The sequence below is a fragment of the Homo sapiens genome, chromosome 6 (genome assembly GCF_000001405.40).
Source record: "Homo sapiens chromosome 6, GRCh38.p14 Primary Assembly".
NCBI classification, from domain to species: Eukaryota; Metazoa; Chordata; class Mammalia; order Primates; family Hominidae; genus Homo; species Homo sapiens.
Window position 1 is genome coordinate 62,033,701 of NC_000006.12, and position 23,240 is coordinate 62,056,940.

The window sequence follows — 23,240 nt, forward strand, 5'->3', positions numbered from 1 at the left end:
TGCAAACATGAAGGAGAAATAACAACTTTCCAACACAAACAAAAGGAAGGCTGAGGCAGGAGAACTGCTTGAACCCATCATCAAGAGAGCAGAAATAATTTAAATTGAAATGAAGAAAATTATATGAAATATCCATGAAATAAGAAGTTGGTTTTTTGAAAAGTTAAAAAAATTGACAAACCTTTAGCCAGAATAATTAAGGAAATATATACATTTATATATTTAGAAAGAGAGAGAGAGAGAGAAGGTCCAAATAAATAAAATCAGAGATGAAAAAGGAGACATTACAACTGATACCACAGAAATTCAAAGGATCATTTGTGGCTATTAAGAGCAACTATATGCCAATATATTGGAAAATCTAGAAGAAATGAACAAATTCCTAGACACAAATAACCTACCAACAATGAACCAGGAAGAAATCCCAAACCTAAAAAGACCAACAACAAGTAATGAGATCAAAGCCATAATAAAAAGTCTCTCCATAAAAATTAAATAAATAAAAAAGACCAGAACCCGATGGCTTTTACTGCTGAATTCTGCCAAACACTTAAAGAACTAGCAGCAATCCTATTGAAAGTATTCCAACAAACAGAGGAGAAACGAATACTAACAGACTCATTCTATAAGCCCAGTACCCTGATACCAAAACCAAAGATGCACCAAAAGAAGAAAACCACAGGATAATATCTCTGATGAATATTGACACAAAAATCCTCAACAAAATACTAGCAAACCAAATTCAACAACACATTAAAAAGATCATTCATCATGCAAGGATGGTTCAACACATGCAAATCAATCAACATGATACATCAGTTCAACAGAATGAAGGACAAAAACCATATAATCATTTCATTTGATGCTGAAAATGCATTTGATAATATTCAACATTCCTTCATGATAAAAACACTCAAAAATTGTGTATAGAAGAAACATATCTCAACATAATATAAGCCATGACAGACCCATGGCTAGTATCATTCTGAACAGAAAAAAAAAAAAAAAAAAAAAAACCTTTCTCCTCAAATCAGGAAGATGACAAGAATGCCCACTTTCACCATTGTTACTGAACATAGTACTGCAGGAAAAAAAATCTAATAATCTGATTAAAAATGTCCAAAAGATCAGAATATGTATTTCTGAAAAGAACATATGTAAGTAGCAAACGAATATATGAAAAGGTGTCCACATCATTGATCATCAGAGTAATGCAAATTAAAACTACAATGAGATATCATCTGACCCCAATTAAAATGGCTTATATTCAGTAGTTGGGCAATAATTAATAAATAATAGCAAGGATGTGGAGAAAAGGGAAGCTTTGTACACCTTTGGTAGAAATGTACATTAGTACAACCATTATGTATAACAGTTTGGAGGTTCTTCAAACAAGTAAAAATAGAGCTACTACATGATTCAGCAATCCCACTGCTGGGTACATACCCTAACAAAAAGGAATCAGTATATCAAAGACATATCTGCACTTCTATGTTAGATACAGCATGGCTCACAATAGCCAAGAATTCCAAGCAACCTATGTGTCCACCACCAGAGGAATGGATAAAGAAAATGTGGTACTTATACACAATGGAGTACTATTCAGCCACAAAAAAATGAATGAGATTCTGTCACTTGTAACAACATGGATGGAAATTGAGGTGATTATGCCGAGTGAAATAAGCCAGTATAGAAAGACAAATATTGTATGTTGTCACTTATTTGTGGGGTCTGAAAATGAAAACAACTGAACTCATGGAGACAGAAAGTAGAATGATGGTCATCAGAAGCTGGGAAGGGGTTAGTGGCTGTGGGGAAAGGTAGGCATGGTTAATGGGTACAAAGCAAATAGAAAGAATGAATAAGACCTAGTATTTGATAGCACAACAGGGTGAATATAGTCAATAATAAACTAATTGTACATTTAAACATAACTAAAAGAGTATTATTGGATTGTTTGTAATACAAAGGATAAATGCCTTAGGCGATGGATACCCCATTTTACATGATGTGATTATTACACATTGCATCCCTGTATCAAAACATCTTATGTACCCCATAAATATATACACCTATGTGCCCAGAACAATTAAAGTAAAAACATTTCTAAAAATGTAACAGCGTGGCTCTGGTCATTTTAATAAAACTAATGGTCAAACAGGGAACATCTGCACTAAGGTGGCACTTTTGGTTTACAACTTAATAATTTATAGCAATGTGACAAAAATTCTTCATTAGATGTGCAGTTAAATATACTTTGATCAATTTTCTAACCTACAAAACTATACAGGGAAACTCTCTCCTCCTAAAAAGAATATTCCAGGCTCTAGACATGAAGATTTCCCAGAAGAGCCCATGTTGCTCCAAGTCTTCTCCTAAGGGTGGGGCTAGAGTTGCAGAGAAGTGGTGATCTAGTTTCTCTGCTTGTACCTCACTATTTGCAGAGAGCTGTCAAATCAAAGTATGTAAACTGTTGACTTAGGCACCCTGAGTACAGGGTGCACATCATCTGTGGCAAACAGAAGAGAGGACGGATAGCAACATTTTGTAAATAAGTCATATCTAAACCACTCAACTTTATAGAGGCCATATTATAATGAACCAGTCAACTCAATCTTCTATGTCCTATAAGTAATTTTACAATATTTAAAGTAATTTAGAAAGGGAAAAATAGATACAGGGCCTATTTGAGGGTGGAGGGTTGGAGGATGGTGAAGATCAAAAAACTACTTATCGGACACTATGTTCATTACCTGTCTTACAAAATAATCTGTACACCAGACTCCCATAACACACACGATTTACCCATGTAGCAAACCTGCACTTTTATTCTCTAAGCCTAAAATTATAAGAAAAAAAAGTAATTTGGATCCATTTTCTATTTATTTAACTTAGGTTGCAATAGTTAAAGAAACATCAAGAGAAGGCTTGGAAAAGTGTATTTCTTCCAATGTTTTGGTTCCTTGATGTTAATCTACTAGTGAAAGCAAGCTGATTTCATAAAATGACCTTCATGTTTATGTTTTGGGGTATTTCACACCCAATAGTTAAATATGTCCTAGTAATTGCCCAGTAATCTCAAGCAAATTACTGTTTCATGGGCAACAATATATTACAGCTATACAAATGAAATAATTAAACTAGTATCTTTAGGTTTTCTGCCAGCTTTAAGATTGCATAAACTAACTTACTATGAGTATTATGACATAAAAGTACATAGGTTATTCCTCAGACCAGATGAAGGAAACTAACACAACCCCACAGTTATCCTCATAATATTCTGAAACTAAATGTTGCCCAAGTTTAATTCTTATGCCCCAGATTATTATGTTAAAGCTATAGAGTTGCCAACAAAGCATACTCTTGCCTTACTCATATTATAAAATCTTTCTTAAATGATAATAATAATCATCATAATACAAGTTTCTACATAGTTTCTTTAGATTATTAGTATTAAATAAAATGTGGATAAGACTTTGAAACCTAAAATTTATAGAACTGGAATCCTGAAAATATTAACTCAGCAAAGGTAGGATATGTCTGTTTTTTAATGGCTTGCCATCTTATACTGCATCATTTATATTCCTGTATAGGTAGGAGTGACTGTGGTCTTAAAGGACTCGATTTGAGTGAATCTGATATTGACGGTGTTGCTGAGAAAACAAAAATCTCTCACACATTCAAGAAAATAAAAATGAGAGTCATTTGGTGTTTCAAATTCTGAAAAAAAAATATTCTGATAATTATTTAGCTTAAAATTTTTAGGCGAAAAAAAAAGAAAATGAAGACTGGGAAAAAATATTCCATAAGAGTTTAATGATAGAAATAAAATACTGCAAAACACCCAAAAACGAAGAGAAAACAGTAAGCCCACTATTGAGGAACAGGAAGCAGCAAATAGAGGGCATTACAAGCTTAGAAATGTAAACATCACAGCTTCTGGAAATGTTCCAAATTCTTTAAATTAAGGCTCACATTTTGTTTGCCTTTTTTTAAAACCCTATAGTGATGCTAAAATTGTAGATGCTAGCAATTACATACCTATAGCTAAAGGATTCCTTATCTGGAAAAAGGCATATGCAAGAATACTGGCATAACAGATTACTGTCCATCTCAAAACTCTGACCTCAAAAAGCAAAGAAATTTAATGTTAGTATTTTCAAAATTAAAACAAGATGCTAAGTTTGCACAAAAATATGCAAAGAGTAAACTACTTTGCATATAATATTTTAAAAGGAAATCTATTCATAATGGGTGTTAGTGATTTCTAATATTTAGATATTAAGCAAAAATACATAAATGTGTTTCCTTTATTGGCATTTGGTATGCTTGTTTCTATGACTGGCTTAACTGCCACAATGGAACAACTCAGAGGCACTATTCACATGAAATGCCTCGTGATCAGCATCCCCGGAAGTGCATAAAACACTGTCCTGCTGCAAAAAAAATCAAGTGGTCCAATCGTTGTGTTTACATCAAAATATGTAAATTTTTATTTGTATCCCTGGCATTTCATTTTCCTCAGTGTTTTTGACTTCACTCTTGGTGAACCCATACACCCAGAAAACAATTAAAAGTAAACTCTGCGGTGTTGTTATTCATTAGATTGAGAAGCTGCTGATTTTTTTTTTTTCTTTTTTGGTCTTTCTTTGAGCTCCGTTTAGTGTCATTAACTAAAGCCAGAAAACAGTTTTCTACTGTTTAACAATGATTGTGAAGAGCCCAAATAAATTTTCAAGCATTCATGACAACTCTACTCAAGTAAGGAATGATTCAGATATTTATGACTGACAAAAATAGATTACTATTCAACTTTTGAATGACTTGTGAATTTAAAAAACTGGTAAGAAAATAGATCACTGTCAAATAAACATCACTGCAACTAATGAAATTCAGAATCTAAATTACTGCTGATGACGCACTTGAGTTAAGTGCAGAATTTTTCTCGTTAACATTCCCACTCTGGGCCCATTATCCTCTTAATTGTACCTCCAAATTCCCCAAGCTATGCTAGAACAAGTTGTCTAAGTTTCTCTTTAAAAAACATGGCTTATATTGGGGTCATTTCAACTATTAAAATAAACACTTAACAGGATCTTTCTAAAACCATACAAATAATAACAACAACAACCTTTGCATCAAAGATTTTTCTAAGAGATTAAATATCCTTATTATTTTGCTTTTTCAATAACCATTCCCACAGGGTTTGACATTAAAATTACCCATTAATTAATAATGTATTGTATGTTACAACAAGCAAAATAAAGCTATTTAAGTAAATTTTCTTTCTAATATTCAATTATATTAGAACAGTAACTTATTAATGTGGGTCTTGGCTTTGGTTACTGAATTTGTAGGCAAAGCAAAGATAGAATCCAGTATAAAAAAATTAAGCAAATCTTAATATTTTAAAAAGTAAAATATGCAACACAGAACTTGAGAAATTATACATGCTCTAGATTTGTTTGCTATACAACTATGGGTGTTTTATGTGTTGATCGGTGCTTTCTATTAAATAAAATAACATGTACATATCTATATAGATACACAGGCAAACACACACACACACACACACACACACACAAACACACACACCCCTCTAGAAATTATCTGTCTGCATTGATCGCCATTAGAGGACAGCAGAAATATATATATATAGAATTTCATACAATTTTGAATTTCATTCTAAATTCATATATATGTATGTATGGAGAGAGAGATTATCTGCTAAATAATATGTATGTGGTACTAAATATATATTAATAGTATACAAATATATATTTCTAAACTTAATTGCCTTTGGATTCTCTCATTTTTCTCTAATATAACAATCTGGTTAAAATAAATAATGTAATGGGCACATATATTCCCAGTAATCTTGGTCTAGGTATTGCACAGACTGATCTCATATCTAAATTCTTCCTTCAATAAAATGTAAGAAATGACTAATGATGTAACAAGCTCAGTTAATAGTCTCCCCACAAAAATACCATATTGAACATTTTGTTGATCAAGATAAATCTTCAACAATCTAAAATGTTCAAAAGGAGGAACTAAGAAATAAAAACTCTTCCAGTCTTGGTCTGAGGCAGTACTTTCTGTGTAGTGCCATTTACTTTCGCTTTTGGGATCCATCTAGCATCCCTAGTAAAATGCTAGAACACTTGCTTTGTCAAGTTGTAGTAAAATTAAGAAGACTTACAGAGAAACTGGAATCACCTGCCCAATTAACCTTGAGTTTTGTGACATTAAATCAGATATCCAAAGGCAGAAAGACTTTAAACCAGCTTTATGACTAACCTAATGCTTTTTAAACTAGAGCTTTCTATTTTTGATGTCTAGTATCTCATAAAACGTCTCTACCAAGAAGAAATGTTTGAATTGCCTCTCTTGGCAGCCTTTTATTTGACAAGTTTTAAATAAAATGTTGACATGTGCTTCAATTATTTGACGGTGGGAGAGGCAAATTCAAAATAAGTTGTAAATACAATACAATACAATACAGAACAAAACTAAACTAAAAACAAACACCCAACAGACACACGCATGCACGCACACGCACACACACACCCGTCTAGAAATGATCAATCTGCGCTTATCGCCATTAGAAGGCAGCAGAAATGCAAAAAGAGAATTTTACATATAAAGTAGTAATAATGTGTTCCAGTTATTTATTGTTGCATAACTAACCATGATACATTTAGTGGTCTAAAATAATGATTTTAATATTATTATCATATACATGGTTTCTGTGGGTCAGAAATTTAGGTAGTGTACCATGAATACAGCTTGCATCTCTGCTCCAGGATTTTTTGGGCCATAGATAGGAAGACTTGAGTAGCTGATCACTCAAATGGCTAAGGACTGGAATAATTTGGTGAATTCTTTGCTCGCATGTGTAAAGCCTGCACTAAGATGACTCAAAGGCTGGACTAAAGTAGGACTGCCCACTGGCACCTATACATGGCCTTTCGATGTAATTTTGGCTTTCTTCACAGTAAGCAGCATCAGGATTTTCAGAATCCTTTCAAGGCACCTTTAAACTCTAAGACATAGTGTTTCTGCAAATGAGAAAGAAGGTACACAGCTTCTTCCAATGTAGCCCCCAAAATCACGAACCAACACTACTCTGCATTCTATTGGTTACAAGCAAGTCACTGAAACTATCCAGATTCAAGGGGAAGAGAATTGGACCCTATTCATCTCTCTCTAAAATAAATGTCAAATAATTTGCAGCCATTTTTAAAAGTTCCACAGAATGTGAAATTTAAAATATTGTCCAGATATATAACCTGGCCCCTTTCCATATTGGTTATATTGCATTTGTACTTTTACTATAATATTTTTAGGCCAAGCACGGTGGCTCACACTTGTAATCCCAGCACTTTCCGAGGCTGAGGCGGGCAGATCACCTGAGGTCGGGAGTTCAAAACCAGTCTGGCCAACATGGTGAAACCCTGTCTCTACTAAATATACAAAAATTAGCAGGGCATGGTGGCGGGCGCCTGTAATCCCAGCTACTTGGAAGTCTGAGGCAGGAGAATCACTTGAACCCAGGAGGTGGAGGTTGTAGTGAGCCGAGACTGCACCACTACACTCTAGCCTGGGCAGCAAGAATGAGACTCCGTCTCAATAAAAAAAGAAAAAAAAATTTCAGATCAGCAGTAAAGCTTATGACCTAAAATAATAGACCATCCTCAGTGGTAGAAAAGAACTACATCATTATAATTCTGGCTTATAAATTGTAAAATGTCTAAAAATTTCTATTTTCATACATTCTTTTTTAATAGCTTAGTAAACAAAAATGTCTTACAATATGGTGGGAGAGACCCTGATTCTGTGATTCTCTCATTTCACTCTTCTAGGGAAATAAGGGTACAGTACAAATAATGAGTCACAAGTGACAATGAGGACAAGTTACTATACAAGTAGCATTAATAAAATGTTTTCTGTATATAAAACTTGGTTTATGGCTGTGTCATTAGGTCCCTGAAAGTTTCCAAGGAGCAGGTCTTAATTACAAAAATTAAAAGGAATTTGTCTAGATGCGAATAAAATCAGATGAGAGGAAATCAATGATTTAAGATAATATATAACTTTGATTCAAAATTCATAAAACATTACTACCCCATATCCTGTTATTGAAGCTTATGAAGAACTTGAGCCCAGATAACTTTATGGCTTTTTTTTCTTTCTAAGGTCACAGGCACACTACACTGAATGATAAATTATTCATACAACAAAAGATGAAGATGCTAATTTGAGAAATTGTCTCACAAATATGATGATATACTTCACTCCTCAAATCAAACCTAATTAATTATTTGGTCATGTATATTCCAAATATAACACATACTGAAATAATCTATTGGTTAAACGTTGCAACATAAGTTTCATTGTATTCCCACAAATATATATATTTTAACACAATGCTTCTTATCACAAGAGCTATGGTTCAGGAAGGACCTTTCAGTCTGTTACTCCTACTCTAAAATTCAAATCAGAGAAACAGGAAAGTTGAATGAATCAAACATAAATAAAATTCCACTTATCTATATTTTATAATACTCTGCTTATGTTTCACAAACACAAATGATATTTAAGCAAGTTATTATGCTGATTCCTTTAACTCTGCTGGAAGTCAAAATGAGTTAGGCATTCTTTCCTTCAGAAGGCCAGTCAAGAAAGAAATGTTGTTGATCTACTGTGCAGTTCATTAGAGGCACAGCTAAAATGAAAGTCAGGGTGTCTGGGCTCTTGATTTTGTAGGATTATAAACTGCTTTGGTGTTCAAGATATTAAAGAGTTGAAACAGGAGTCTATGTAACCAGTCACAGCCTGACTGACAAGCAATGAGCATGACTTCACCCCTTCAGGATTTGAGAGACTATTATGCTGTTTGATGTTAGGCAGAGCCCAGAAGCCAGATGAGAGATGGCTGGTGCTAGGTTCACACCCATATTGCCCACTAGGCAGCCACATCTCTTTGAAGGTTTTTTGTTGATTTTACTGTTGATGAAAATCAATTTGCCATGAAATCAGAAAGAATTTACTAAAGTAGTCATCACCAAATGCAGAAGAAATATTCTAGAATAGAAACTGCACATTATTACTGCATCAAAGACAGAAAAGCTTGCCTTGAGAAGTATTACACATTTTTCAAATAAAAATCCACCAAACAGCACTGTACTTTTAACATATAATCATGAGACTGCTTTAATACCCCATTTCGTAATTTCAGCCAAGCTTATTAACAGAAATGCCAAAATACCTTTCATTACAACATAATTTGTTCACAACATGTCCATTTGTGATTTCCATTTAAGGACAATAGGTGAGTCTAAGAAATTTGCTTTCAAGATCTCCTATTTTCCTCACTCTTGTCTGGGTGTGTTCAGCTATTGTCTGATTTTCTCTAACCCCTCTAACCTTTTTTCTTGGAGAGAATATGTTTATTTGTCACAGTTTTCAAAAATAAGCTTGTAGAACCACTGCTTCCTCTGTTCTCCCTCACCAGTCTTTGCCATCAACACCCCCCAAAATAGCAACACTCTATCTGAAGCTACAGTAAGTTACCCTGAACATTGCTCAGAAGCAACTACCAGTGAAACCAGCAGCTTTGTGGTTGTTTAGAACCAGCTGGCCATATGGTATATGAAGGACTTAGACTTTAAAGAACTTTCTAAACTGCTAGTTAATTTCCTGAGGTATTTTGAAATATTTCATACATGCTGTATATTTTCCTTTCTAGATTTCTCTAAGAATACTTTTTCTTCTCACAATTTAAAATGTAGCTTCTGTGCAAGCATTCCTGGCTGGTCTTAAGTAGGATGTGAGTTCATATATTGTGGGATCTGACCAATACGAGAAAGAAATCATGACTATATGGTAGGATTTTGCTACTGGTATTACCTTGAATATTATTATATTTTACTTTGTTTTCATTTTCTTTTTCTGCTTACAGAGTTATCGGCTAGGTATAACTAAACAAAAAGTAATGTTTCCCCAACACGAGATAACACAAAGAAAAACATTAAACTTGAATCTTCTTATTAGATACCACTAGAATTATTTTATATATGATGCAATTAACTTTATAATGATCTGGAAACATATCTTAATACTTCGTATTTTCTTATGTAAGGATTAAGAAGTATTATTAGATCCACAAAAACAAAACGAAATGAGTTTGTCATTCTATCTACCTACTAATCCGAATGACTGTTATTTTCTTAATTTTTTTTAAAAAAATGTTACACTGGTCAATATGTTTAATTAAGTATCAAGCTTTGTGACTCATGTCTAATACTTTTTATATAGCATAATATTGAATCTATTCTTGAAGTAATAGTAGATATGGAATAAATATTTTTGATTTTTTTCCCTGACTTACACAACCAAATATCTTCTTTTATCATGAAGTAAAGATCGAGTTTAAGACATACTTTGTATGTCTTATGTCCAGCCTCCAGTCTCCCGCTTAAGTGCTCACAGTGGCTCACATCTATAATCCCAGCACTTTGGCAGGCTGAGGCAGGAGGATCACTTGAGGATCACTTGAATCCAGGAGTTCAGGACCAGCCTGGACAACAAAAGGAGACTCCATCTCTACAAAAAATTTTAAAATTAACCAGGTGTGGTGGCGTTCACCTGTAGTCCCAGATACTTGGGAGGCTGAGGTGGAAATATCACTCGAGCCCTGAGCCCAACGGTGGGTCAAAGCTGCAGTGAGCTGTGATTGCACCACAATAGTACCACTGCAGTCCAGCCTGGGCAACAGAATGAGACACTGTCAGAAAAAAAAAGAAAAAGAAAGAAAAAGAAAAAAGACATACATTTTGTAGTACCTTAGCAGCATACCCAACATAGAAAAGCAATCTGCATTATCATGTCTTATAAAGGTGAGGCAAACATGTTTATTAAACAATATATCCTGCAAAGTCACCTATCTATGAAACCACAGAGAAGAGTGCCGACCCAGGCTTTGTAAAGCACACAAGGAGCCCCTCATGTGGCTTCAGTTATTTAGTTTTTCTGTTGGATAAAAAGATTGGCAGTTGCATGTTGAACTTCTTAATACTTGCTGATCTAAATTTTAAACATGGCTAATCTTTGTAAAGTCAGGCAAAGTTGAGAAGAGGATTCTGAGAGGCCTGCCTAAGTTTGGTCAAGGAGAGTCTTTGTCAACATACATACCCATACATACTTATGTGTATGTAGGTATGTGTCCTTGGACATATTACATTTCAATGCCTGTTACATCCACATTGACATGTTGAGTAGGTAAATATATAAATTTAGCATCTAGCACTTAAGGGGGAGACTGGAAGCTGGACATAAATTTGAGGTTCAGAGCACATTGGTGCTATAAGAACATGAAGGAAAAAAAGAAATCTGAAGACCAAGTCTGGGCTTGGAGGTCTGGAACAAGAGGATCCAGTCACAGAGACTGAGGAGGGGAACAATAAAGAATGAAGGTGAGCCAGTGATTGCGAATTACTTTCCAGGAGTTTTACTATAAAGAAATCAGATGGTAGCCAAAGGGGAATAAGTATATTTATTAAATAAATATATGGCTATAGTTGTCATAATAGTTTTAGATATAGCTATGGTTATACATAAAGTACAGATTCTCCCTCAGGGCCGTCACACTTGGCATTCTCTCTCCTTTCTGATATTTCTATGTTTGGCTCCTTCTCATCTTCCAGTGTTCTTTCTACTTGATCACTGTATCAAAATTTGCTCCCAACACCACTAACCTCTTTTCCCTGCTTCTGTTTCATTTAAATCCATAAAAATTATCAAGTCCTAAAAGTATAAAATGTATTCATATATTTATTATCTGTCTTTCCCATTGGAATGTAAACTCTAAGAGAGGAAGACCTTGTATTCATTACTATAAATTAGAACTGTGAATTACATAAAATGTGTTCAATAAATAATCAATGCATGAACATATGCCGGTTTGTATGGATTCACACATATACACTTTTATTGCACAATCCCATGTGATGTATTTAATAATTAGAAAAAACAAAATTATGTAAAATCTTCTTTCCTGTTTATGTCGTGATGCAGAGGCAAAATAACAGCATCATAATCAATAATTTACCAAGGATTTATCTTTTATTTTAATCAAGTGTTTACTAAGGTAGATTTTTCATATCCATGCCTGTGATTTTATTTCAGCTAGGTGTCCAATACTTGAGAAAGTTAAGACCTTATCATTCAAAAGCAAGCAAGTGGAACAAAAAAAAAAAAGAAAGAAAAAGAAAGAAAAAAAGGCCTTATCTTAATTCTAAAAAATATTTTGCAGTACAATGTATTATTATTATTTAATATGTTATTTTATTTAATTTGGTAAAAAGTGAAAACACTCAAATCATAGTCAAACATGATGGATCACACAAAGAGTAATAAGAAACTGAATTGTAAGTAACAGGTAATATTAGTAAATTAAACCTCATGGAAACTTAATAGAAGCAAATTTGTTTCCTATTGGATTTTCCAATACTTTTGCTGGTACCTAACATGCTCACAGGGAAAAACAAATTTAGTTTAAAACTTTATGAACAGGAAAAAATGTCCAAATATATGAGAATTAAAAATATGTATCCATCTGTTTTAAAAGATATAGAAATACTACATGTAGATTCTGCATGTGCAAAGCTAACTAGAACAGTTCTCCATCCTGGAGATAAAAACAGATACAGTAAAATATGTTAAGTGATAAAAGAGTACTTAGCCTATTATAGGAGTTCAGGGAAGCCATGCTGGGGAGATGATGACAAGCTGAAATCTTAAAGAATGTGTGAGACCGTAAAAACACACAATATGAAGTTTATAATATAACAGTATGAAGTATTTGGGAAATTCATAACAAAAACAATATTAAAGAATACATGAAAGTACAGACATAGGTAATTATGTGTCATTTTCTCCTCTTATATAAAGAAAATCTAAACTTGTGGCAGGACAAAAGCTTATCTCATGTCTAGATGCTGGTGTGCTCACCTCTTAAATATTTGTAATATTTATTTTAAGTGTAGTCAGAGAATCTAGAGGCAGGAGGATTGGCAAGAATACAGTCGTTGCTGAAATTGTACACAGTATAGAGTAATCAAAAGTTATCCCAAAGAAAGGGCTAGTAAAAATCATTCCGTCTGTGACTTTCTACAGTTGATTATTGAACCATTCTAAGAAAGCACCCAAATGGAGAGTTTTGCTAAAACTCCTAATGTAGACTTACTACAGTAAAGATACTTTATGTATGATATATTCACCAGTTCAGTGACATTTCACACTATAAATTTCCTCATTTAATATGTCTCATTAACACAGATGCAGGACTCCTGAGCAATTTTCTAAGGATTCTCATACTCAAAAATAAATATTTAAACATTTCATTCTCCATAATAACATTACCAAGTCACAAAAGTGTGGCCTGGTCAAATGATACTACGAAATACATCCCGCCTTTCGCAGTGAATCCTCAAAGATCCTTTTGGAATAAATCTCTACAAATTGTCATTTCTCCCAAACACTGAATTCTAACACTGAGAAAATTGCTAACACTTTATAAAATAAGAAATAATGTAGTACAGATGTGAAATAAATCATTTCAAACATCAAACTTGATAGATCTCTTATTGTTCTTTTGGGGGTCAGGTGAGTTGTTTAATATCATTGAAGCATTTCAAGAAATAAGCAGGATTCTCTTAGATTTGCAGATAAGTATTAGAAATTGCTTCAGGTAAGAGGATCAAAGTGAAATAGAGCAGAGAGATAAAATGAGAGAATGATACAATGGATGTTATTAGGTGATATGATTGAAGAAAGAAAAAGGAACCAGCGAGGGAATTAAAGAAAATGAACACAGACATATAGAAACATTCTACAGAGGACACAGAAAAAGTGAAAAGATGTGACAGCAACCTACACAAAGGACTAAAGAAAATGAAAATATAGAATATACTTTCTGGAAAGAAAAAGAAGGGAGGCCAATAATTGATTTTTAGGAAGAGAGAGGAGATAGCAGAAAGTGACACAGGGTGATCCCAGGAAATGGAAATCATAGGAAATGGTGAAAGAGCAGTTCAGGCATGCTTGTAAATTTGGCCTTCAGTGTTATAGGTAACCTCCTGAATGTGGTAAATATTAGATTCAAAGTTCAGTACCTTAGCTTTATCTCTCATTGATCCTTTGCCCAGGATAGACATTTTAGCACCTGTTTCTTCCTGTAGCCTCTTCAAGGAGTTTCCTCTTGGTCCAAGCAATTTCCCCACAAAATTGAACTAGGAAACAAAATCAATAGAATGTCTGTTTTAAGGTACAATAAAGTGATTATTTGCACCAAGAGTAATTGATAGGTTATAGGTTTTCCAAACTTTACCACTGAGAAGAGAGTCATGCCATAAACATACACACACACACACACACACACACACACACACACACAAACCCCAAACCATTTCAGATATCTAATCTAACACTCATTTTAAAAGCTATATCTCTTCTTAAAAGAATGCCAAAGTGAAAAGTATGTTGAAAATATCATTTACATATATAATCAAATGAATCATTTATTAAGGAAAGAAACTAAGGACAATCATGCTGGTTTACAGAATTTCTAAAGGCTTTTTCTCTCAAACTATATTATTGAAATAAGAGATGATTTTAACGTAAGTCTATGAACCTTCAAAATTGTAAAAGTTTGCAATCAATATTTTAAAATCGATGCTTTAAATTAGTATCTAAAATAAAATTTGATATTCAAGTTTGTTAAGCATTGTCTGGTGACCATAACTTTCTATTACAACTTTCATAATCAGGAATAAAGGGACTCAATTATTGTTCAATCTTACATTGTCTATATTAAAGAGTTGTTTTAGTAAATAAAAGATATGAGCACATAAAAGTTAAAAAACAGTACTTATAAAGCATATATACAAAACACTTTGTCGAAATAAAAAATTCTGGGGTTCCACATAATTTGCTTAATCATCTTGAAACATAAATAAGAACAAGTGAACTAAGAGCAGTTACGAAAGCATTTATGTTAGCTACTAAAAGGAACATTTCCAAACCAAATGACCGAGGTAATAATTTGTGCCATAATTCGTCGATTAAACTAAAAATACAAAGAACATAGAATGCACCAAAAACTATCTTGGGAACATAAAGAACAATGATAAGTAAGACTAAGTAAAATTGCTTTCTATATCAGAGATTTTCTTTCCTTCTCTTTTCTTTTCTTTTCCTTTTCTCTTCCCTTCTCTTCTCTTCTCTTCTCTTTTTTCTTTCTGCCATAATCCCTCAGTAAGAAATACACCATAGTTAATGGTATAAAACTCAGTTTTTTTCCCAAGTCCAGAATAAAAAGAAAGATGTCTGCTCTTACCCCTTTTATTCAATTTTTTTACTGGAGTATGGATTGTTGTACGTATAGGTAAATAGATATGGTATGGTATAATGCCCAAAAAGACTATACATAGGTGGTCAATTTATTGTCAGCAAAAGTGTCAAAGCAACCAAATTTGAAAAGTAAAGTGTTTTCAACAAATGGTAATGAAACAATTGAATATCAGTATGAAAAAGAACAAAACAAAACAAAAAAGGAAACAAAAAAAAACTTTCATGACCTCTTTCACACGTAGGCAAACCTTATTTTGAGATCGATCATAGAACTATATGTGACAACTAAAATTATAAAGATTCTAAGAAGAAAGCATTAGAAAAACCTTTGTGAACCTAGGCTAGGAAGAGATTACTTAATTAGAAAGCAAAGAGCACCAAAAAAAAAAAATCCCTAATGTATCAGTGATGATAAGCTTTTATTCATATGTTCGTTGGCTACATAAATGTCATCTTTTGGGAAGTGTCTGCTCATATACTTCACCCACTTTGTGATGATATTTCTTTTCTCTTGTAAATTTGTCTTTTCTGTTCCTTGAAGATTCTAGATATCAGACCTTTGTCAGATAGGTAGATTGCAAAAATATTCTCCTGTTCTGTAGGTTGCCTGTTCATTCTGTTGATAGTACCATCTTATGCCAGTTAGAATGGCAATTATTAAAAAGTCAGGAAACAACACATGTTGGTGAGGCTGTGAAGAAATAAGAATGCTTTTATACTGTTGGTGGGAGTGTAAATCAGATCAAACATTGTGGAAGACAGTGTGTTGATTCCTCAAGGATCTAGAACCAGATATACCACTTGACTCAGCAATCCCATTACTGGGTATATACCCAAAGATCTACAAAGCATTCTACTATAAAGACACATGCACACTTATGTTTATTGCAGCACTATTTACGATAGCAAAGACTTGGAACCAACCCAAATGCCCATCAATAACAGACTAGATAAAGAAAATGTGGCAGCACATATACACCATGGAATGTTATGCAGCCATAAAAAAGGATGAGTTCATGCCCTTTTCAGGGACATGGTTGAAGCTGGAAACCATCATTCTCAGCAAACTGACATAGGAACAGAAAACCAAATACTGCATGTTCTCACTCATAAGTGGGAGTTGAACAATGAGAATACATGCACGCAGGGAGGGGAACATCACACACCAGGGCCTGTGGGGGTAAGGGGAGGGATATCATTAGGAGAAATACCTAATGTAGATGATGTGTTGACAGGTGCAGCAAACCACCATGGCATGTGTATACCTATGTAACAAACCTGCACATTCTGCACATGTATCCCAGAACTTAAAGTTAAAAAAAAAAAAGGGGGTGAGAAAAAAAAGCCCTACTGATGCAAACACTCATTAAAAAATTGAATAGATAAGCCACAGGCTGAGAGAAAACACTCCTTACCTCTGAAAAATGACTAATATCTATAATCTATAAAGAACTCCATCGAATCAATGGTAAATCTCACACACACACACATATATACATACCCCAGAATGGCTAAAACTAAAGGAAAACTCATGGTAAATGCTGATGAAGATGTGTAATTACTACTGCAATTGCTGTTGGCAGTTTAAAATGATACAGTAGTATCATTTTAAGACTGGCAGTTATTTATAAAGTTAAACTTACAGTTCCACTATGATCCAGTAATTCAACTGCTAAGTATTTATCCCAGGGAATTAAAAACATATGTTCATAAAACAACTTGCACGTGAATGCTCATGACACTTTATTCACAATCACCATTAAGCCAGATGTAAACAAGTGCTCATCCTAGAAGTACGGACAAACAAGTTTATATGTAAACAGAAAGAAACTAGCCACTGATTGACACAACAACCTGGATGTATCTAACAGACATTTGAGAAGCCAGATATAAAAGAATACATTATGTTAGGTTCCACTATTACAAAATTCTAGCAGCAAAAATAATATATGGTGTTAGACTTCATAAGAGTGGTTGTCTGTTGAGAACAGAGCCTGAAGTTGAACTGGCTGGAAAGCGGCATGAAGGAAATATCTGGGGTGACAGAAATGCTCTATATTTGTTGGAGGTATAGGTATACTTTTATCAAAATTTATCAAGCTGCACTCTTAGGAACTATTATTTCATTGTATGCAAATAGCATTTTAATTGAGAATGTGAAAAACAAAATGAAAGAATAAAAACTCATGTAAAATATTTTTGAAATAACATCATAGTTTCTGTTTTTACATTTAGGTCTCATCCGTTTTGGGTTATTTTTTGCATATGATATATAATAAAGGTCCAATTTCATTCTTTTGCATATAGAAATCCAGTGTTTTTTTAGCACAATTTATTGCAAAGATTATCCTTTCCTCATTGTGTTCTATTGGTGCCCTTATAAAAAAAAATCAGTTGGCTGTATATGTTTAGATTTATTTCTGAGAAAACATAGGTTCAAAACCTCTGAAGGCTGGCCTTGGTAAAGAATTTTTGGATGTCATACCAAAAGCTCAAGCCACAAAAGCAAAAACAAATAAACGGGACTACATTAAACTAAAAAACTCCTTCAGAGCAAAGGAAACAATCGCCAAACTGGAACAACAGCCTCTGGATTGGGAACAAAAGATATTTGCAAAGCACACATCTATTAAGGGTTATTATTCAAAATTTATAATGAATTAAGACAATTCAATGGCAGAAAAACCGATTTAAAAATGGGCAAAAGATCTAAATAGACACTTATAAAAAGAAATAAAAATAAACAACAGGTATATGAAAAGATGCTCAACATCATTAATCATCAAGAAAATGCAAATCAAAACCACTACGAGATACCACCTCAACCTCATACTTATCAGGATAGCTATTTCCAAAAAGTCAAAAGATACCAAATTTTTACTTGAGTGAGCAGAAAAGGGTATTTTTTGTAGACTGCCCATGGGAATGTAGATTGGTATACCCAGTACAGAAAATCCTATGAAGGTTTCTAAATAAATTAAAAATAGAACTACTATATGACCCAACAATCCCTCTCCTGGGCATATACCCAAAGGAAATAAAAATCACCTTGTAAAGATACCTGCACTTTAATGTTTATTGTAGCATTATTCATGATACTAAAGATATGGAAACAATCTAAGTGTCCACTGACAGACAAATGGATAAAGAAACAATATAGTGGAATATTATTCAGCCTGAAAAACAATGAGACCTTGCCATTTTTGCCACAATGTGGAGGAGCTTGGAGGACAATATGTTAAGTGAAATAAGCCAGACACAAAAAGAAAAATATGGATGATCTCATTTATATATGGAATCTGAAAAAAAATACCAAGAAAATGAAACTGTTTACCATGGTTGGGGTGGAAATAAGGAAACGTAAGTCAGAGGATAAAATGTAGGAGATATGTAGGATGAACAAGTCTAGAGACAGAGTGTACACTGGCAATCCTCAACCTTTTTGGCACCAGGGACCAGTTGCGTGGAAGACAATTTTTCCACTGGTGGGGTGGGGGTGGAGGAGGGTGGGGGTTGGGGTGGAGGAGGGTGGGGGTGTTTTGAAATAAAACTGTCCACCTCAGATCATCTGGCATTAAGATTCTCATAAGGAATGCAAAACCCAGATCGCTTGCATGTGCAGTTCACAATAGGGTTCCACTCCTGTGAGAATCTAATGCCAGGGTTGATCTGACAGGAGGTGGAGCTCAGGCAGTAATGGTAATGCTGGCTTGCTAGCTGCTGACCTCCTGCTATGCGGCCTGGTTCCTAACAGGTCACAGACCAGTACAGGTCTGAAGCCCAGGGATTGGGGACCCCTGGTGTACACAATGTAGACTATAGGTAATAAAATTGTTCTGTATTTGGATTTCATCCTAAGTAGATTTTGGCTGCACTTGCCACAAAACCTAAAAAAATAATGGGTAACTGCGAGATGATGGATATGTCAGTTTGCTTCACTACAGTAAACATTTTGCTCTCTATATTATCCCATTACATCATGTTGTATACCTTAAATATATACAATAAAATGTATTAAAAAATAAAATCAGCATAAAATCATAATGAAATGTACTATAAAGAAATACCAGTCCCATTAGTTGCACAAAGGGATCTCTCTAGACTTATAGGAAATGTATCATTCCAATCTATGCACCAGAGAAAAAAATGGAGAAATATCCAAGAACTCAGCAGGAGAATATAACCTTCATACCAAAACCAAATCAGAAAAGGAAATGCATAGACCAAAGCCACTCATAAAAGAAAAAAAAAATGACATGAAAAAACCCACTTGGCAAAATAGTATCATAGCTAAGTCCTGTTGTATGTACAAAATACATCATGATTGAGTTTTATTTATCATAGGTATACAAGTATTTTAAGATTTATAACCTCTAATTGTAATTTACCCATTAACAAATTAATGAATAAAAAGGCTAGCATTTTATTTGTTTGGAAAAATGATTTGATAGAATTTAAACTTAATCATTATACAAACTCACATCATCTGAAAAACAAAGGAAACATCATCAGTCAATAGAAGGCTTCTATTCAAAATTCATAGGAACAGTAGATTTACTGATTTAAAAAATCTTAAACAAGGTAAAGATGCACATTCTTGACACTTTATTCAGCACCAACGACTCAAACAATCTACTAAGACAGATAAATATTATAAATATCAGAAAGTAAAAAAATGCCATTTATATAATTATATACATAGAAAACAAAGTGTTTTCATAAAAATATTAGAATTAGTAAGAGAGCTTAGCAAGGTGCTGTTATACAAAAAAGGTTAATTGTATTTTTGTATGCCAGCAGCATATAATTAGAGAATTTTTTTAAAGGAGATACCATTTATATAGGAATTTTAAAAACTAGATTTTCTAGAAATAAATTTAGCCACAGATGTTCAAACCTTTACAGAACATGTATAAAATACATTTTGTTGAGAGATATATTGTGTTCATAAATAGGAACTCCCAATGGCGTATAGATTTCTAGTCTTCTAAATTTCATCTGCATATCCAATGTAATTCTAATTACAATCACCATAGGGTTTGGATCAACTTATTAGTTGGTCCTAAAATTTGTTTAAAAAAGTGAAAGTCCAAGAAGAGCCAAAACCATTCAGAAGCAAAAGAACAAGTCAAGAACTATTCCTTCCACATATCAAGATTCATCATAAACCTGTGTTAATTATGACAGTATGAAGCATCCAGTCCTGGGGCACAGATAGACAAATAGAGCAATGGAATCCAGAATCCATTAACAGACTCCTGTGTATGTTAAAATGACATTTGACAGAGGTAGTGTTACAGATCACTGACTGAATAATGGTCCCCTAAAGATGTCCATGTTCTAATACCAAGAATCTGTAAATATGTTACTCTACATAAGAAACTATATGGGTGTGATTAAATTAGAGATCTTGAGATGAGGGATTATCCTGGATTACCCAGCTGTGCCTAATGTCTTTTTAAAAGAAAGAAGGAGGCAGCAGGGTCAGAGAAGGAGATGTGATGGCAATAGCATGGGCTCGAGGGATACAATTGCTGGCTTTGAAGATGAAAGGAGGCCATGAGCCAAAGAATGAAGGCAGCTTCTATTAGGTGGAAAAGTCAGGGAGCAGATTCTGCCCTAGAGCCTCTTAAAGGAATGCAACCCTGCAGACACCTGGATTTCAGCTTCAAAGAAATCATTTCAGACTTCTGAACTCCACAACTGTAAAATAATGAATTTGATTTGTTTTAAGCCATGAAGTTTAAGTTTGTGGTGATTGTTATAGAAGCGATAGGAAACTAAAATACTAAGGAAAGAAGGAGCTACGTAATATATAGCATAATAGGCTATCCATAGTAAGAGAAATAAAATTAATTCCTACATCATAACAGAAAAACTAAATTCTAGATGGTTTATAGACTTAGATGTGAAATATAAAACTTTAGAACTTCTAGAAGAAAATTTTCTAATATTTTTAAAATGATGAAAATACAATAACTGTAAAATAAAATTTGATTAAAATTAAGAATATCTGCTTGTGAAAATGCACCACAAAGTAGGTGAAAACATAAATCACAAATCTGAAGATGGTTGACATTACATGTTACCATTAAAGCAGTAGTTTACAAAAACAAATATAGAACTAAGGAAAAGAAAAAAGACTTAATAGATAAAGGATAAAGTCATAAATGTGTCATTGAAGGAGGAATGGGAATGGAAAAATCTTATGAGAAATTCAATCGCATTATAATTTAAACAAATCAAATTTAAGACCATGATGACATAATTTTACACACACTATATAAGAGGTCTATGACTATGAAGAGGTCAGACATCAAGCATTGGCCAGAGTGTGGAGAAACATGTACTTATATACGCACCTGTGGGAGTGTAAATGAATACAACCATAATGGCAGTGTCTTGTCAATCTGTAAATCCATTTACCTTATGCCTCAGCAATCTCATTCCTAGATATATCATCCAGAGAAATCTTGGCACATGTACAAGAGTATTCAGTCTCAATCCTTGCAAGAGCAAAAATAGTGGGGAAAAATGATGATAAATTCAAGAATAGTGTGTTGTCAACTCCACACCATAACCAGCATTTTTATGTCTCAAAACAACTTTTCAGATCCCTTTCCACGTAGGTTCACTTTCGTGGTGGGTTTTGTCAATATCAAGAAGTTGCATCACATTTGGAAGACGGACATGAATTGGAGTCCATTATTCCTCGCAAGTCATAGAGATCAGACGTGGTGCTCTGCTGACTTCTATGTGAGTGCTCACTCCGTGGATGTGGCAGCCCCACAGACCTGTCCACAAATTCCCAGTTCTTGGTCTTGGCAAGTTTTGCAAATCTTTCCTCAAACTTCCAGTCTGTGATCATGACAGGCTTCATAGAATATCCTGGAGCTCTGGTTTCTCCCCTGTGCTCTGAGGCTTTAGGCTCCCATCTTTACGGCCTGTTGGTGGAACTTTCCTGAAGACCTTTCCTTCATCTCTTCCCACAGTTATATTAGCCTTGAATTGTGGGTTATAACTATTAAATATAGAGTGGCTTTTGTTTGCCTGTCAGAATCATGACTGGTACAAATGAATAAATAAATTGTGACATATTACTATGAAATATTACAGATCAGTAAAGATGAATTACTCATAACTATATAAAATTTCATTAATCCTAGAAATAAATTTTTGATTGAAAATTCATCTACACATATAACGCTTTACATAAAACTCATAAACAAGTAAAATTAAATAATATTCTACTATGAACACATGCCTATGTAGCAAATACATTTCTTAAATAACAGGGATAATAATAAACACAAAATCCATGATCTTGGTAATCTCTGGGAATGGGGAATAGGGGACATGATCAAAGAAAGACATAAGGTATTATAAAGCAAAGGGTGATATTTTAGACTTTGGTTTAACTTATGGGTTCAAGAGTGTTCATTTTATTTTGTTTTATACTCCACACATGAAAGTTAAACATATTATGTTGGATGTATTAAATATTATGTAACTTTTAAAAATTAAGAACAATTCAAGTTGAGTTAAATGTCACTGAACTTCTCTTTCATATTATGTTACAAAACCTTCTTTCCCCTTTATTGATGACAGTAAAACATCAAACTCAGAAATACCAAGTCATCCAAAGTGATGTCTCCACCAGGAATGCTTAAGACTATGAAAAGAGAAAATTTCACACAATCCCGGCTGAGGACAGATTATTGACAGAATAAATATGTGGTACTTACTTTCAGAATTTTCTATTCTCTGCCTTGATTCTTGCGACACATTTCCCAACACTTCTATTTCAATAGTTATTTTATTTTTAA

At 33.7% G+C, this 23,240-nt stretch overlaps 1 protein-coding gene across 7 annotated transcripts in view; it reads right to left on the bottom strand.

Moving 5' to 3' along the window:
* Window positions 1-23,240, bottom strand: part of KHDRBS2 (KH RNA binding domain containing, signal transduction associated 2) — a 743,556-nt gene that overhangs the window by 491,031 nt on the left and 229,285 nt on the right. For all 7 annotated transcript variants that reach the window (NR_146870.2, NR_146873.3, NR_146874.3 and 4 more), the window contains exon 3: window positions 14,178-14,294. Coding sequence is in view for 2 of the 7 variants with exons in the window: in NM_152688.4 (NP_689901.2) it covers window positions 14,178-14,294 (117 nt within the window). In the remaining 5 variants the exon portion in view is untranslated. The remainder of the gene's footprint in view (window positions 1-14,177; window positions 14,295-23,240) is intronic.